Source organism: Homo sapiens, chromosome 7 (genome assembly GCF_000001405.40).
Source record: "Homo sapiens chromosome 7, GRCh38.p14 Primary Assembly".
NCBI lineage: Eukaryota > Metazoa > Chordata > Mammalia > Primates > Hominidae > Homo > Homo sapiens.
In genome coordinates this window covers 89,090,567-89,110,097 of record NC_000007.14, presented here as the reverse complement: position 1 = coordinate 89,110,097, position 19,531 = coordinate 89,090,567, and the positions used below count along the sequence as shown (strand labels likewise).

Genomic DNA, 19,531 nt, shown 5'->3' with positions numbered 1-19,531 from the left:
TCGTTTTTTTCTCAATTCTATTTTGGAATCACTGGTTTTATCATCTGCTGCCATAACAAACTGGTGGTCTCTTCAAAGGCAAATGCTGTGTATTTTTGTCTTTTTTTTCCCTCAACTGCATATCCACCTTCATATTACTGGGACCTAAAACAGAGTTTGGCCCAAATAGTTATATAATGCATTTACTTTCAACATATAAATAAGTTAAAAGTGTATCAGGTGAGATGAATTATGCACTAGTAAGACATATAAACTCACTTTAGGAGTAGAGTGACAAAATAAAATATTTCATCTCCCAGAAAAGAGCAAAATAAAAATTCAACTAAAGGCTAACAAAATAGAAGGTCAGAGGTGCTACTGATTTTTGAAAAAGAGAGTAGAATGATTTAAGCTATGCTTAAAGAAGATTAATTAGGCATTTGAGTAAAGAGGGAATGAAAGAACAATGTGATGAAGACTAATTTCCAGACTTCAGCAGTAATGCAAAAATGTGGGAATGAGAGTCTGTGAAAGAGAAGTTACCAAGAAAATGAAATCAAAATGTGGAAAACTGATGAATTTCAATTATTCCTAGTAACTGGGTGCAAAGGGCTGTGTTATGGCCCAAATCTGCCTAGGAGATCAACAGCCAGCATTGGGACAATTGACAGCTTGCAGAAACCTTGGCAGAGAAAGCCATTCTCATTGGAATGACAGAGTAAATTTAAAATAAATTAACATCATGATATAAAATTTAATGTGAAGTTTGAACATTTTGGCTATTCTCATAACTCTTCAAGAGAACAAGTAGTTCTTTACTATCTCATGGTATTCTCATTATTATCTCAATGTGCTTGTGTAACGAATAGACAGTAAAATACATTGCAAGCATTATGTTTCCATTTAAAATAGGTTGGTAAATTAAACAGAACCATGTTGTCAAATCATTTGCCATGATCCAAGTATTTTCCTGGTAATTACAAGTAATGCGTGATTTATTCTAGGTCTATTAGATTTAAAAAATTTTTCTCCTTTATTGATGTTCTCTTACTAATTATACCCAAACATGATTTACTTCATCCCTATTAATAGATTATAACTATTAGTTGGACTTTTTTCCCCTCCAATACTAATGACACAGCTCTGCATGAAAGCCTGAACTTATTAAATATATATGCAGTTTAAATGCAACAGAAATTCAGGAACTAATTTTCTTTTCTTCCTCTGGTGTTTTCAAGCAATGTATTTCTCCTTTTTAGCCTGAATTTTATATAGGTTAACCTTTCTAACTCTTGCCCTTTTGCTTACCACTTATTTTTTTGTGAGCACTCTTCTTGATCTTCAGTCATTTCTTCTCTACTTTTCACACTTATTTCTTCTTTGTTCCCTTGCAATTTGTCTCCTGCCAGGCCTTCTACAGAAATGTTTCTCTAAAAGGTCACCATTGACCTAGATCTTGCCACATCCAATAGGATCAGTTTCCTTTGCCTTTTGTCATGTCAGAGAGACCATTAAACGTGTTGCATTGCTACTGTATTTCCAAATAAGATCACTTTTCCAGAGATGACCTGTGAGATTGTTCAAAGAGAGTGAAATCATTCTAGAATAATAAAAAGTTTCTAAAAGTGAGGCTCTTTTGAGCTAAGGTCTGAAAACTATTCTATAATATAAAAAGTAAGATACTTTTCCTTCCCTCCTCATGTATGTAGATGGCCAGTCATGATCTGTCTTTCATTAGAAGCCAGTGACTCCACAACTTCTTCCTCTCTCTGTAGCAGAGAATACCCAGAAGAATCAGCCTCCAAGCCTATGTTCTTCCCTCCGTGTACTTTCTGTCGAGATAAAAGCCACCTATCATCACTCCCTAGCAGGTGGAAGAAAAGAAAAAAAAAAAAGCAGCTAATTATATAACTTCATAACTAATGCCCACAAAGAGGTTAAAAGGAGGAAAATCATCAAACTGTTCTAATCTTAAGTTGTTTTTGCCTACATGTCCTGTTTTTCATACAGTAAAACTGCATTCTATTACCAATCGGTTCAGATGTTTCATGATTGCTTTCTCTTCCCTCTGTGGTTCAGCCCCCTTTGACTTCCTGGCTGTGACAGTCTTAGGAGATTGAGACATTTCCTTCTTTAGCTTCAGGCTTATGGCCCACAGTACAACTTTTTAATGCTCATCTCTTCTTTGTAGTCAGGCGACCTTCCGGGAAGGACCCACTGTTTCTCTCAATTCCCCAGCCTGCATAGAACCCAAAGGAAATTCAGAGAATACCCCCCATGCCGCTTAGTAATAGCGGTGAAGTTTTGGAAATTGTCTGTGGCTCTCTAAGCTTGTTCTTTTTGTATGGATTATGTCTGAGACATAGGATACAACTCCATTGTTCTATAAACACTTTCAAGGAAATTATCATTCTTTTCAAGCCACCCAGATTCATCGGGTAAAGGAAAAGAATGCACATACACTGATTCTCTCCAGTTGAAGGGTCAAATATCTTGTTTGACAGGAAGAGAAATGCTGGTTTTTCCTGTTCACATGTATCCGCTAATGAGTTTATAATTTCTGTCTTTTAGACTTAGAATCCTAAAAAGATGTGAAGTTATTATTCTCAGCTACGGATAATTCCTAAGGCACTAAGAGTATCCCCATAGATTTGCTAAGAAAGGAGTGTTGGTGGCTGAAATAGGAAAGCTGGAAAATACTCATCAATTTATATTTTACAATCCACTCCATTATAGATATCTCAAACATATGGAAACTATTACTAATGTATCTAGCAGCAGTGATTACATAAATTCATGTAAAAGGATCATTAAATTTATAATTCATCACTATATTCTCAAATCACACACATTAAAATAACTATCATCATGCATGATATCAAAAAGTTATTCTAAATATCAAAAGAATAATAAACTACTCCACTATTATAATCTAAAACTTTATGAATACATTATAAATAAAAAGTGGTTTACTTATTAACTAATATGTAAAACTACCAGGGCAATTTCCAATTGGAATATGTTCTTGAAGAATTCATTCATTTTCTTCACTTCATTTTCCCTTTAATAACTGTGCCTTTAACAACTGTAATAACATCTCCATAGATGTTCTTTATCTGAGTTTCAGTACTGTATTTACAACTCCTGTTAAATATTTCTGTGAGTCACATAGCTGTCAAATCCTTACAGCTCCAAAACCAAATTCATCATCTTACTCCCTCCAACAACATGCTGTCCTCAGTTTATTCAAAGATATAATGTATCTCCTACTTGAAAACATGGGATATTCTCTGTTCTGCCACTCCAGTTCTTCCTCCATATTAGCTTGGTCTTGTTTTTGTATTCTAAAACATATCACTTACCTATCTCTTTATTCACAGATTTCTCTAGCCATCCTCCCAATCCAGTCTGTTTTAAACCTTAGGCCTACATTGCTACAGGATTTTTCTATGTTGTCTTCCTACCTTCTAGTTCCTTTTGGTGGAAGTAAGGGACTTTCTTAAAGAATGGCTTCTTCTAATTGTATTTCTTTTCATTAGATTGTAATAGTATTATCAATTCTTCATTCAGAAGTGTAATAGATCAATATGGATCCATTTTTCTCATCTAACTCTCCAATTTCTCTCTACACAAGCCATCAATCTCGGGCTAGTTTCCAAAAGCATTCATTACTATATCACCCAGTTTAAAACACAGAGGATCTAGCACATAATACTAGAAGTCATTACTAATTCTGTAGTATAAACACTGGTGCCCAATCTTTTAAAGTATAAAAAACTCCTTTAAATATGTAAAGTTTCACAGACCAGCTCAGGATAATGGCTATGCTTTTAGCACATGTTGACTGAGAAAACAAAAACATGTAACAGTAAGTGATATATCACAAATCTTTGAAATTTTCTTTGAATTCATACATCTTACAAGTTTTTCTTGAGTACCCATAGATGCTGGGCTCCATGCCACACACTAGGTGTAAAACAGGGAATAGTACTGACACCATCTCTGCCATTTGGAACTTATATTTTATTTGTAAGTGCTTTTAAATAAATGTATGGATCTTCCAGAGAGCTGAACACATGGGTGTCCCTAGAGGGTGTTGTACCTGAGGAAGCATGGAAGCTCCATGACTCTTCTTGCAGACCACACCCTATGCATCTCTTCATCTGTATGTTTTGTAATATCCTTTGTAATGAAACAGCAAATATAAGTGTTTCCCTGAGTTCTGTGAACCACTACATCAAATTAATTGAACCTAACAAAGGGGTCATGGGAACCCCAACATGAAGCTGGTTGGTTAGAAGTTTCAGAGGTCTGGCTGGGCTTGCTACTGGTATCTGGGAATGTCAGAGGTATCCTTGGGGACCTGTGAGATCAGAAACTATTTCCAGGTAAATACTGACAAAACTGAATTGGGGAACACCCAACACGTGTGTGTTGCTTGCTGTGTGAGACGAAAGCCCCGTACCTTTGGTTACATAAGTCTTCTGTGTTGATGATGGTTATAGTTGTGTGAGAGTGGAGGCAAACATGGGTTGAGATAGTTTTCCCCTACCCAGTTGGTGTCAGTGAAGTTGGATTTGCTGGACTGGCCCACGGTCAAGGAAACATATGGGCTGGGGAAAGAATGCATATAAGGGTAGGGAATAAAAAACCTCAAATTCCTGGGTGGCCATGTGGTCACCCATGGTATGAAACAACAACTGTGCTTTAGTTCAGTTACTAAAGTTAAAAGCTATCCATGGAATTTAGAGATAAATCTGACTCCCAAGGAGTCCGTTCATTGGATGCATGAGGAAATGCAAACTAATAAAAAAGTGAAATGTTTAATTCCTTGGTTATTGTTATCTATAACAGTTACAATGAAATTAAAAGAGAGTGCTGGGTCAAGCCTTAAGACTGGACCATGCTCAGATATGAGTCTTTCTGAGCTAGACTCAGAGACAACCCCTGAAGGGCAGAATTATACAGAGACAACAGAAACTACCTCTGAGACCTGTGGTTACTAAGAAGGTAGTAAATGTAGGAGAAGGGCAAAACCAAGTAACCATTGAAATCAGAAGGTATAGTTTAAGCGAATTGTTCCATTCTTTAGATTGGTATCATCAGCTTCCTGAGAAACCTTTACTAAAATGGGTTGTGAGTAACTAATTTGGCAGCAGTGTCTTTAGTTTTTTATGCTGCACAGTAGAAGAACATGTTTGCGTTGACTCAGGACAAACAGCTCACTACTGAACAATCACAGATAAGTATTTGATTCCTGCAGAATCAAGTAGCAGTTCCAGAAGCATTGTCAAATTTATGGCCTCAGAGTCACCTCACAGATCTTACAAATATTAATAAAAACATTAGGCTAATTAACAAGAGAAGAGTGAAGGATAGAGCAGAGAATCAAAGGACTCATCCCAAGAAGGTGGAAAAAATTTAAAGGTTATTTAAAAATAAGGTAAATAAAGAAAACATTGATAGAGGTGAAAATAAGAGGGAAAAAAAGGAGAGAGTCATGGGACTTGTCCCAACAGAAAAATAAGGTGACATGACAACTGATACCAAAGAAATATGAAACATCATCAGAGACTACTATGAACATCTCTATTCACACAAACTAGAAAACTTAGGGAAAATGGATAAATTTCTGGAAACACACAAACTCCCAAAATTGAACCAGGTGGAAATATTAATAGAAACCCTGAACAAACCAATAATGAAGAAGAACATTGAATCAGTAGTAGAAAAATCTCCCAACAAAAAATGCCCAGGACCAGATAGATTCACAGCTGAATTTTACCAGGTGTATGAAGAAGAGCTGGTGCCAATCTTACTCAAACTATTTCTAAGAAATTGAAGAGGAGAGATCCTTTCCTAACTCATTCTATGAATCCAGTATAACCCTAATAGTAAAATCAGGCAAGGACACAACAACAAAAAAAGACAACTACAGGCCAATAACCCTGATGAACATAGATGCAAAAATCTTCCACAAAATACTAGCAAACTGAATCCAACAGTACATCAAAAAGACAATTCAGCATGATAAAGAGGTCTTTATTCCAGGGATGCAAGGATGGTTCAGCAAATGCAAATCAATTAACATTGTCCACTATATAAACAATGCTGAGAACAAAAACCATATGGTTATCTCAATTAGATGCAGAAAAAGCATTTAATAAGATTAAACATGCCTTCATGATTAAAAACCCTCAACAAACTAGCTGTACATAAAACACCTCAAAATAGTAACAGCCATATATTTCAAACCCATAACCAATGTCATACTGAATGAGGAACAGTTGAAAGCATTTCCTCTAAGAATTAGAACAAGACAATTATGTTTGCTCTCACCACTCCTATTTAACATAATAATGGAAGTCCTAGCCAGAGCAATCAGGCAGGAGAAAGAAATAAAAGGAATCCAAATTGTAAAGAGGAAGTCAAAGTTCTCTATTCACTAATAACATAATTATATACCTAGAAAACCCTAAAGACCTCTTTAGAAGACTCACAGACCTCAAGATACAGAAAGTCTCAAGATACAAAATCAGCAAACAAAAATCAGTAGCACTTCTGTACACCAATAGCATTCAAGGTGAAAACCAAATCAAGAACTTGATCCCTTTTACAGTAGACACACACACACATGCACACACACAAAATACCTAGAAATACATTTAACCAAGGAAATGGAATATCTCTACAAGAAGAACTACAAATCACTGATGAAATAAATTATGAATGACACAAATAAATGGAAAAATACCCAATGTTCATTGATTGGAAGAATCAATATCATTAAAATAACCACATTACCCAAAGCAACCTCTAGATTCAATATAATTTCTGACAAATTACCAACATCATTTTTCTCAGAATTTGAAAAAACAATTTTCAAGTTCATAGCAGAAAAAAAAGAACCAGGAAAAAAAAAAAGCCTGAATAACCAAAGCATTCCTAAGTTAAAAGAACAATTCTGGAGACATTGCATTGCCTGATTTCAAATTATACTACAAGTTTATTATAACCAAACACCACAGTATTGGTAAAAAAAAAAAAAAAAAAAAAAAAAAAAAAAAAAACAGACACATAGGTCAATGGAATAGAATAGAGAACCCAGAAATAAAACCACTGTCTATAACCAACTGATCTTTGATAATGTCAACAAAAATAAACAATTGGGAAAGGACATCCTATTCAATAAATGGTTCTGTGAAAACTGGCTAGCCATATGCAGAAGAATGAAGCTGGACACCTATCTCTCACCCACCATATACAAAAATTAATTCAAGATGGATTAAACACCTAAATGTAGGACCTGAAACTATAAAAATATTAGAAGAAAACCTAGGAAAATATTGTCTAGACATTGGCCTAAGCAAATAATTTATGACAAAGACTCCAAAAGCAAATCTAACTAAACCAAAAATAGACAAATAAAATTTAAACTAAAAAGCTTCTGCATAGCAAATGAAGTAACCAGCAGAATAAACAGACAACCTACAGAATGGGAGAACCTGTTTACAAATTATACCTCTGACAAAGGACTAATATGCACAATCTACAAAGAACCCAAAACAACTCAAGATGCAACAAACAACCCCATTCAAAACTGAGCAAAGGACATGAACGGGTATTTCTCAAAAGAAGAAACACAAGCGACCAACAAACACATGAAAAAACGCTCAACATTACTAACCAGAGAAATGCAACATCTATACTGAGATATCATTTTATACCACTCATAATGGTTTTTATTAAAAAGTAAACAAAACAAAACAAAACAGAAAAACAAACATTGGCACAGATATGAAGAAAAAGGAATGCTCACATACTGTTGGTGGGAATGCAAATTAATTCAACCTCTATGGAAAAAACAGTTTGGAAATATCTCAAAGAACTAGCAATAGAACTACTATTCTATCCAGCCATCCTTCTACTGAATATCTACCCAAAGGAAAGGAAATCATGTAAAACCGACACCTGCATTCACATGTTTATCACAGCACCATTTACAATAGCAAAGTCATGGAATCAACCTGTGTCCCCAATGGTTGATTGGATTAAAAAAATGTGGTGTATATATACCATGGAATACTACACAGCTATAAATGAATGGAGCTGGAGGCCATTATCCTAAGTGAACTAACACAGAAGCAGAAAATCAAATATTGCATGTTCTCACTTATAAGTGGGAGCTAAACAAAGGGCACACATGTAGATAAAGATGGAAGGAATAGACTCTGGAGACTCTAAAAGGAGGGAAAAAGGAAGGGGGATGAGGATTAAAAAATTACCTATTGGGTATAATATCCAACACTTAAATAATGTGTACACTAAAAGCCCAATCCCTACCATTAAGCATGTAATATCCATGTATAAACAAGCACTTGTATCCCCGAATCTAAAACAAATAAATGAATACATAAATAAATTTGTAATATCATATATAAATTAAGTGTGAAAAGAAAGGTAGTTTTTACATTACCTTTACATCAGTTACTTATAATCAATTATTCCTGATTTTACGTAATAAAACTAGTAAAATTTTGTATGCTTTTTAGGTTGTGAGAAATTGAATTTTTCACACCTTTTATAAATGTGAGTTAGACTTCTTTATAGTCTTAAAAGTGAGAAATAATTAATATATTTTATTACCATAAGTAGATCCAATTTTATATTTTAAACAGGAGTAGCCGTTTATGTTCATCATTAAAACTACACTGTATATCAAATAGAGAATATCACTTTGAGAGTTTTATAAAAATAGAAATATTGTCATAAATGAATATATCTGATAAGTATACAAAATATTCACTTCTGATACTTCTGTTTGAATGCCAACCTCGCCAAATTGGTGATATGCACACCATGAAAATAGCTCAAAGCTAAACATGCCTGCCGGAGGAACTGTTTTATATAATGAATACAGATTATGGAGTTTTGCCATAGTGCCCATGAGTAAATGAAATGCTCTTGAATCAGACTGTGTGCACTAAAACTGCTACATTAAATGATTTCTTTTGAAATTGCATTGCTTTTTGAATTACATTAATGAATTTCAGTTTGAAGAAAAATGATGACAATAGAATGTATCATTTCTTTTTGTGGGTGGTTTGGTATGAATTACATTTGGTTTTCCAATGGAACAGAGGTTAAATATATACATACCTGTGTATATACACATACACACAGACACACACACACATATAACCTTGAAACTTCATTTTTATATTATGGTTTCTTTTAATTATTTAATATTTTTGAGTACATAGTGGGTATATGTATTTATGTAGTATGTGAGATAATTTGTTACAGGCATACAATGGAATATTCCATTAATGAATTTAAGTTTGAAGAAAAATGATTAAAATAGAACATATTCATATCTCTTTATGGGTGACAATATGAACCACATTTATATTGTGAATGTGTTTGCCATTTGTGTGTCTTCTTTTAAAAAATGTCTATTTAGGTCTTTTACCCATATTTAATCAGATTATTAGATTTTTTCCTATTGAGTAGTTTGAACACCTTATATATTATTGTAATCAATCTTTTGTCAGAGAGATAGTTTGCAAATATTTTCTCCCATTCTATAGGTTGTCTCTTCACTTTGTTGATTGTTTCCTTTGCTGCACAGAAGGCTTTTAACTTGATGTAATCCAATTTGTTCATTTTTGCTTTGGCTGCCTGTGTTTTTGGGGTAGTACTCAAGAAATCTTTGCCCAGATCAATGTCCTGGAGAAGTTCTCCAATGATTTATTGTAGTAGTTTCATAGTTGGATGGCTTCGATTTAAGTCTTCAATACATTTTGATTTGATTTTTATAAATGGTAAGTGATATGGGTCTAGTTTCATTCTTCTGCATATGGATATCCAGTTTTCCCAGCACTATTTATTGAAGAGACTGCCTTTTCCCCAATGTCTGTTCTTGGCACTTTGGTAGAAAATGAGTTCACTGTAGATGTATGGATTTACTTCTGGGTTCTCTATTCTGTTCCATTAGTCTAAAAAATATGGTTTCTTGTCATTTTTCCCAAGGGAAAAACTGTCAATAAAATACATGTGTTTGAAACACTCATTTAATTAATCTGAGGTTTCTGAAATACACCTTGTTAACCTCTACCTAGGTTCTAGCCTTAGAGATTTACCTCTTCTTTCAGATGAGCCATATGACCCAATACCTAAAAGATTGAAGCCTCTCCAAGATCAAGGATGGTACCAGTCTGGGTATCAACATGAAGTCACTCTTGTTGTTAGTTCAGTCCAGTCCTCACTGTCACCCAGTATTGTCCTGAGCTGCTTCTGTATTACATCTCATCTCTAAGCCTGACCTTTGTCTTTATGAGTTACCTAATACTTCTAGAACTAAAGTTTGCCTTATTCTTACAAGTTCACCTAGATGGGATGATGGCTTACCTCAAAACCCCAACACAACCGTTACTGAGAAATTTCCCTATGTAGAGCTCTAAAAACCCCCAAATTGTGGACATGACTTTTGAACTCTTGATCACCATGCCTATCAATTGCAACATTTCCATTATGGTGGTTTGATATCCATGAAGCCCACCGTCTACCTGAACTGCGAACTCCTCTTGTTTGTCACATTAGAACATCATATTCCTTTCACTGAACTGGACCTTTTCCCAGCCCCTAGAGGTGCATCTATTTCTTAGTGGCTGCTGCTTCCCAGTGAGCAGGTGGATTTTAAACCATGTACCCAAACTGTGAAACATGTGGACTTCTATTGTAACATTTTTGGGAAAATAATTTTTGCTTTACATTATTTTTTCTTCCCCTTTTATTATATATTTGTATATAGCTGTCCTTAGATCATCCTTTCAAAGAAAGAGCTCTAGATTTCAAGTTATGATATAGTAGTGAGTTGGAAGTTCCACAGGTTTTAGCTCTGTAATCTCACCTTCTGGAGGTGTCCTCAAGGATGAAATCATCACAGCCAAAATTAGCCTTTTTATTTTTCTTAAACATTCCATTCCCATGCCACCTTTAAGGTGTGTGTGTATGTGTGTGTGTGTGTGTGAATATATGTTATTCAAATAGGTACATATATAATATATATATAATATATAATATATATAATATAAATATTCAAACGTATATAATTGTACTGCACTGTTGAATTATAGTTTTCATTCAAGATTTCATTTCAGTTTGCTTGTTAAAACAACACAACCTACTTTTCAGTAAGAAATTTTCATCTTATGACCAGGTATAAAAATACAAAATTTAGTGAAGTTTAGGCAGGTACTTGAGCTTATAAACAAATAAATGCATATTAACTTATTTATTTTGGCAGTTTACAGTTCAGAGTCATTAATTCATCTCCTTCATCCCCATTTAAAAAGAAATAAGGAATGACAAGTTTTAGATAAGATGAGGCAAATGTCATGTAGGAGCAGCACAGAGTTTAAAGTTAGAATGAAATTTGAATCCAAAGTTATTTAAGAACTCTATAACCTTAGCATTGTTTTTTGTTTGTTTCTTTGTTTTTAGCTACTCCTCATCTCAGTTTCTTCATTAAAAAAAGTTGTTATGGGCCGGACGCAATGGCTCACGCCTGCAATCCCAGCACTTTGGGAGGCTGAAGTGGGAGGATCACGAGGTCAGGAGTTTCAGACCAGCCTGACCAACGTTGGTGAAACCCCATCTCTACTAAAAATACAAAAATTAGCTGGGTGTGGTGGCACGCACCTGCAATCCAAGATACTCAGGAGACTGAGGTAGGAGAATTGCTTGAACCCCGGGAGGCAGAGGTTGCAGTGAGTCAAGATCATACCACTGCACTCCAGCCTGGGCAAAAGAGCAAGACTCTATCTCAAAAAAAAAAAAAAAAATTATGATGATGCTTTTTGCCTTGCACTGAATTTGTAAGGATAACATGGTGATTAAGAACATGGATTCTGAAGCAAAAACTGCCAGGGTTTGAATCCAGGCTCTTTTTCTAATTGTGTAGAGCCTTACACAGCTTACTTAACTTCCTAGTCTCCCCATCAATAAAAGAAAATGTTAATTGTTCCTACCTTAAAGAAATTTTATAAATTATATGTAAAGTGCTTAGGTCTGTATCCAAGCTAGTGCACGATAAGAATGTGCTAAACATTATTATGTTATTATATAGCTTCTGAATATGTATTTTACCTGCTAGGTAAATGACAGCTAAGCAATATGACATAATAAGCACAACCTTATCAAAGTAGATAATTGTACTAAGACAAGCAGCTTATAGAAAAAAGCAGGTGATGCATTTGTAGGAAAATGAAATGAATTTGCAGAAAGAAGATTCATTATAAAATAAATCAGAGTTTGCATCTTTGTGGGCTTTCCAACTCAAGAAACCCTCTCACAAATTTAAGCAAATGAGAATATTTCTACAGTAACATAATCAGAGTCCTGTATTATAATTTTTTAATGTTTTGATAGGTATTTCATCACTTTCAAAATACACACTATTATTATATTTCTATTAATTTCTTGTTAGGTTTTATTTGAGTTGATAGCTTTAGTGATTTTTCCATAATAACTTTCAAACCATATAATGATTGAACTGCTGATTCATTATTCTATTTAAGAAATAGTCTCCAGCTTGGTTCTTCGCTCTTAAATTATTTAATATTTGCCTTCATTTAAAATGATTTGGTGCCTGTTGGCACTCTTACTCAAAACTTCTCCTTGAATCAGTTTTCATTGCCTTTCATTATTTTCTCTGATTTCAATTCCAGCTTAATTTGCAGACTCAAAAATTTTATTTCAATGCCTTCATCCAACACATTTATGTATATTACAAACATCCACACTGCAGAAATTGATCTGTGAGCCATGTACAAGTAAATTCGGGCTTCCTGTGAAATGAGCCAGCAAGAAAGAGTCACAGAAACATAGTTCATTCTGAAGTAGTCACAACAGTTCTCAAAGCACTTTAGGCAAGTGAGGGACGGGGATTGCAGAAAGCAAGATGAGGTGTGGTCTGTCCAGAGATGCAGCTGCACGTATCCCATTAATTTTCGTTGGGGATTCAACATGAACCTGAATACAGGATTTAGCCTGAATCAATCTGTGAGGATTTCAGGAAGTTAGCCCTGGAACTGAAAATGACTTTCTGGATAAGCAGAGATTAAGGATCAGAAATGCTAGGAATGAAACCTAGGGAGGGAATAATTCAACATTACAGGTGTGAGGATGATCTAAGGACAATGTCTACAGAGAAGGTTTACAGCTCACCGAAGTGCCAGTTTCATTGCATAATTTTAACCTTATTTTATTTTGTGTAGACATAGTTCCCTAGAAAGGGCCTATCATTTGGCCACTTGCAATAAAAATAAATAAACTTAGAAAAAACAACACATAATGAAAATTACTTCGATGAGGAGTGCAACAGAAAGCCCATGTTCAAAAATATCAATGAGTTAGACAATCTAATGATTTAAAAAACAAAGAAAAGATTATGACATCTGTTTTTGAAATATCATGCATATCACTTTGAACTGGATTATCGTAAAATCAGGAACTGGGAAAAACATCTATCCAAGTAATAACGTGGACAGCAATGACTGCAAATATATGATCTCTCACACTACAATAAACAGATCACTTTTGAGTCGAAAGCAACCACTAAAAACAACCAAAGAAGGCTCTAAGCAAGGCCAGCAAAGAGGAGCATTTGATAAGAATCATCAGTCACATCAGTCTCGGGATCAACTCTTCCACCTGGTTCCCCTCCAGTCCTGGGGCAACTCTTTCCTTTATGATTATTCTCTACCTATTAAACTTTCTCTCAGCCCATTCTTCCCTAGTGACACTGAATTTCCACACTTACATTCTGATCCTACTTGTATTGTCAGAGCTGCCATGCATCATCACAGTGTTCAGTTTTAACATTAACTTGTCTAGTCACACCATAGATTGATCCATTTCTCATCTGCTGAGGTACTGATTTTCTTTTTTTTTTTTTTTTTTAAATGGAGTCTGGCTCTGTCACCCAGGCTGGAGTGCAGTGGCGTGATCTCCACTCACTGCAAGCTCCGCCTCCTGGGTTCACGCCATTCTCCTGCCTCAGCCTCCCGAGTAGCTGGGACTACAGGCACCCGCCACCATGCCCGGCTAATTTTTTTTTTATATTTTTAGTAGAGACGGGGTTTCACCATGTTAGCCAAGATGGTCTCGATCTCCTGACCTCGTGATCCGCCTGCCTTGGCCTGCCAAAGGGCTGGGATTACAGGCGTGAGTTGATTTTCAAACTCAGTTCTATAGAGATGCACTGTTGATGAGTTCTATAGAGAAGTTCTAGGGGAGTGGCAAAGGTTTAACTAAAAATATTTTTGTATCTATTTTTAAAGAGTTTAAAAACTTAACAGGAAACAAATGTAAATGCAAATATTTTATACCAAATTTTGACTTGTTGGGATTCTCATTTGTTAATTTTTGCAATTATCTGATAATTTAGTTTTACGCTAAACTAGTAACAGAGTTTTTCCTGTGTTCCCATTGCATATATGTATACCTTCACAAATTTATTATTAAACATACTGATGATTTACACTGACCTGTGTTATGTTTTAGACTTGTGCATGACTACATAATCACTAATCCAAATGCCAGACAAGGTTCAGATGTATCTTATCAATGTATGCTCTCATTTTGTTATAATTGTCTCTTGCACAGTTACATAAAATACAACACTGTCTTAGTTTGTGTACTACAACTGATTACCACAGACTGGGTAATTTACAAAAAAATAAATGTTTATTTCTCACAGTTCTAGAGGCTGGGAAGTCTAAGGTCAAGTCACTGGCAGGTTGTGTGTCTGGCAAGGGCTGCTCTCTGCTTCCAAGATGGCATTTTGTGACCGCATCCTCCAGAGGGAAGAAATGCTGTGTCCTCACACGGTGGAATGGGCAAAAAAGACAAAGCCTCTCCATCAAATCCCTTTATAAGGGCATTTAGTCTCATTAATGAAGGTGGAGGGCTCATGCTTCTATCACCTCCCAAAAGCCACACTTCCTACTACTATTTCATTGGGGATGAAGTTTCAACATGAATTTTGGAGGCAACAAAAACATTCAAACCATAGCAAAAACATTGTATCACAAGAAGAGCACATTATAAGAGTTTTCATGTTCATATTCTTGGGGGTAATACTTACATTTTAACTTTCGTATTTATTGAAAATAAATGAAGACCATGATAGATATTGCTAGGGACTCAACTTTAAAACAAATATGATTTTCTGCTGTTCCCCTCCAAAGTTACTCAATCAGTTTTAATTGAATCAAATCCTGACACGGTAAGGCAACTATTCTTTTTAGGTCTATTTCCATATGTAATGACTTTTTAATGTGAATAGGTTTATCAATACTTGCATAAGCAAAATAAAGAATTTAACTGAAAATTAATCATCATTTTTGTTTTGAAAAAGTCTACAAACTGAAAAAAAAATGTATAAACAACTCTTTGGTTTTCATCAGAAACACACTGTAGCAAAGGAGAAGAGTTTCCATCAATCAGGGTAGGAAAACTACTGCATCTCAGCGACTAACGTATTAAAATTCCAGGATTTTTTTTTAAAAAAGTGAGTGTACCCATATCTTCTCCAATATTTGTTTTATGGACAGCAGTGGAGGCAATTTCATATGACTCAAACAGGAAAGAGCAGACAATTCAATGTTTAGTAGGCGTAAGAAAGGTAGACTTTCTCAGCATTTAGGAAACCTCAAAAAGACAACTGGAAAGAGTTCCTGATATGGCATATTTTAAAGAAAGTAAATGTATATATACACACACACATACAGAGGTTAAATAAACATTTGAAAACAAAGTCACAGTACTGATTCAGAAGAAGGGAGATAATGATTTATACAGGCATCGTGACATTGGTTCAACAAAGTAAAATCTTTGTTACTTGAGATTTTTAGAACTTTTAGAATGAACATGTGACCTAAATGGCCTAGAATGATATCTACAATTCAATAGCTTGCAATAAATATTAGCCGCATCTTCATTTTTCTGTCCTCCCAAATGTTTGACAATAGTATAAAGTGTTTGTAAGGTCTTTGACTAAAATCTTTCTATTTGTATATGGAATTATTGCCTAAAGACATTTAACTAGCTAACAGTAGGTCACCTATCCTGGTGGGCTTCTGAGCCCTGTGAACTCAGGGTAAGCTGCCAATCAGTAGTGAAGGGAGCTATCCCACAACAATTTGAGTGGTTTCTCAAAGTTCTAACTCACTTCCAGGTAAATTGTGGTCATTTGCTTGAATGCCTGAGCTAAAATATGTTTCAGTATCTGAACTAGTAAATGACCAACCTTGGATAATTGGACCTTTCTATACCTGTTGAAGGGGGTCCTCCCCAAGGAAACCTGCAAAATAATTTGGCAGTTCCTTCAGACACATGGACTTCAATGCATAGAAGTCTGCAGATTGAACGTTTTCTTGGCCAAAGACAGAGTCGAGTTTACCAATGTTAGTCTTTAAGATAATCGTACAAACAGGGCAATGTGTGTGTGCACACATACACATAGAACATTTTTAGGGTAACAGAACTATTCTGTCTGACACCATAGTGGTCAATTCATGAAACTTTACATTTGTTGATATACCTAGAACTTTAAAACACAAAGAGTGAACCTTGATGTATACAAATTTTTTAAAACTCCTTTAGAAGTTTTGGGGGGATCCCAGCATGGAATGCTGAATTTGACAAAAGAATCTCACTGTATGAGGAATTATGAAACAACCTCACTGAAAAGGGTAGAGGAAAAGGGAAAAGTTACCTAAATAACTTTGGAAATGGAAGTTTCATCAAGACAAAAGGCACAAGGTAGTATACACAGCACTATACTCTAATTGATAAGGTGTTTCCCACAGAGGTACAGGTAGCAGTTTTAAAAGCATCATTTATGTATACTAGAATTTAACAGTTAGATAAATAAGTGGAAGATGGTTAGAGCCAGTTTTCTCAGAGTTAGAGTGGGAGGCTACAAATAAGTTAAGGGAGATAGCTGGAACAATCCATGCAGTAATGGATTAGCAATGGAAATAGCAATATGAACTCATTTTTATTTTCATACAAATACAAATGGTTACATATATACAGATTTATGAATATATGTATATGTATGATTTAGTATATACATAAATATTCCCTTGCTCTTTCAGGAAAAAGGGCCTAGAAGCAACAATACCTCAGTAACAATGAATACATCTAGCACCCAGATCTTGGTTTCTAATACTACCCTCCAATAAAAGGAACCAGGACTCTTTAAAAATGTATAAGATGAACTGTACCATCTTTTGGTGTGAGCAAGTAAAGAAGTGTTCAAAAATAATCATAATCACAATAATGGGAATATGTCAAAGGAGCTGAGGAGACAATTGCAAAAGTTTCCAATAGCCAAAGCTGGTACAGTTTGAGGAAGAAAATAAATCAACGCACTTTGGGAGGCCAAGGCGGGTGGATCACAAGGTCAGGATTTCGAGATCATCCTGGCCAATATGGTGAAACACTGTCTCTGCTAAAAATGCACAAATTAGCTGGGCATGGTGGCACGTGCCTGTAGTCCCAGTTGCTCGGGAGGCTGAGGCAGGAGAATCACTTGAACTCGGGAGGCGGAGCTTGCAGTGAGCCAAGATGGCACTACTGTACTCCAGCCTGGGCAAGAGAGTGAGACTCCATCTCAAAAAAAAAAAAAAAAAAAAAACAGAAAAGAAAAGAAATCAATGTTAGAGTAAAATCCAAAGTATAACGTAAGTGTCCACGATGCTATCGTCTGAATGTGTGTTCCCCCAAAATTCATATGTTGAAATGTTAAGCCTAAAGCAATGCTTTTAGAAGGTAGGGACTTTGGGAGGTGATTAGTAATGAAGGTAGAGCCCACATATGGGATTACTGCCCGTAGAGAGACCCCCGAGAAATCCTTTGTTTATTTCACCATGTGAGGATACAGCTAAAAGGCACCATCTAATAACCAGGAAAAGGGCCCTCACCAGACACCACATGTTTTGGCCCCTTGATTTTGGATTTCTCAGCCTCCAGAACAATGGGAAATAAATGTTTGTTGTTTATATGGCACTTAATCTACAGTGTTTTGTTATAATAGCCTACACAAACTAAGACACATGAGATACATTTATTAACAGATGTAAATAAATGCTTGAATATATAAGTAAATATAAAGAATAAAAAAAAACTGTGCATAAGAATTCCCCTTAACTTACACGGCTACTGCCTTCTCAAGGAGGTAAAACAAGACTCTGAATAGGCACATGTTGATGGAGACAAGGAGAGAAGAAAACCTCTGAAACTCATAGTATCACTCATTCACCAAAACCCCAGGAGGGAAGCCCTCAGTATGAAGTGCCATAGAAAGGCACTGAATCCTTGTAGGTGGTTACAGTGAGAGGGAGAATGAGCCACACAAGGGAAAGTGGAAAGATAAAAGTATGTTTTATTTGTGCTCTTTGTGGGATGTATTGTCTATCCTTGAAAAATTTAAAATCCTCAGGAATCAAATGCTTGTTTATTTGCTTTTGATTATGACCAAGACCACCATATCATGCTTTCATTCCCTTTTGCACACACTTTTAGCTTTCCTGAGGCTAGTTATCTACTTTCGACTTTTACCGAGAAAACTTGTTTAAATTCCAGTATTCATTCAAAGCTCTGAAAATACTCAACCCAAGAAATTGAGGCAAATCTAATAGAGAAATATTGTAAAATAATAAACTTTTTGCCACCTGTTACTACATATTTGTTTCTGTTGCTGACTTGGCTAGGTCTCACCATGTTTGAAAGGAAATTGTTTTTCTCTCTTTAAAATGATGTGTGATTTACATCTAATTTACATCTAAGTCACTTAATTTGAAAGACTTTACTTTTTTTTTTTTCCTAGCTGGCATTATTATCCTGAGATAATTAGCATCCCTAAACTCATGAATTTTTAGATATGCTGTGGTTTGCTAAAGCCAATCTTTCATATTATTCAATGACAAAAGCTATCATTAAATTTACTGATAAAAAATGAAGTAAATTTTGGAAGAAGAAAACAGGAAAGATAAATTTAGACGAAGCATTATGTATGGAAAGCTCATCCACATACTCAATACTTACGTCCAAACTTTCCTCAAAATGTGTTACTTATTGCCTGATTCTGATCACCCCTTTATTTTTAATTACGTGTGCAGTTCTCAGCATTTTTGCATTTGGTATAGTCTGTATCAGTCTTTATTAATAGCTTTTTAAATATTTTCAGTTCCTTTATACTCTCTGTGGGTATATGTATATTTTTACTTGCATACATGTGCCTGTATGCAGCCTGCCAAAACAAATTAAAAATCTTTAAAGACCAGAATAGTATTTTTGTATTTTTTGAAGGGGAAAAGGAAGAAAGCCATTGAAAAACTGTGTATTTGTATTACTGGTGGCTAGGCAGTCCAAAGTCCTCAAATTACTAGCTAGGTAATTGTTTTTTCAATAAAGTAGACAATTAGTAATGCTGAATTTCCTATTTTTTCATCTTTATAATCCAATAATCATCATGAGG

At 35.1% G+C, this 19,531-nt stretch overlaps 1 protein-coding gene across 1 annotated transcript in view, besides 2 other annotated features; it reads right to left on the bottom strand.

Moving 5' to 3' along the window:
- The window catches only part of ZNF804B (zinc finger protein 804B), a 578,829-nt gene that overhangs the window by 228,431 nt on the left and 330,867 nt on the right, over window positions 1-19,531 (bottom strand). The gene's annotated exons all lie outside the window — the stretch shown is intronic.
- Window positions 5,916-6,608: an enhancer, noted in NCBI's record as "OCT4-NANOG hESC enhancer chr7:88732804-88733496 (GRCh37/hg19 assembly coordinates)". NCBI's record gives its function as "activates a minimal SCP1, AML or CMV promoter by ChIP-STARR-seq in naive H9 embryonic stem cells {active_cell/tissue: H9 hESC(naive)}" and the evidence as "EXISTENCE:reporter gene assay evidence [ECO:0000049][PMID:30033119]".
- Window positions 14,029-14,191: a silencer, noted in NCBI's record as "fragment chr7:88725221-88725383 (GRCh37/hg19 assembly coordinates)". NCBI's record gives its function as "represses an EF-1alpha promoter that drives an FKBP-Casp9 reporter gene in an ReSE screen in K562 erythroleukemia cells {active_cell/tissue: K562}" and the evidence as "EXISTENCE:reporter gene assay evidence [ECO:0000049][PMID:32094911]".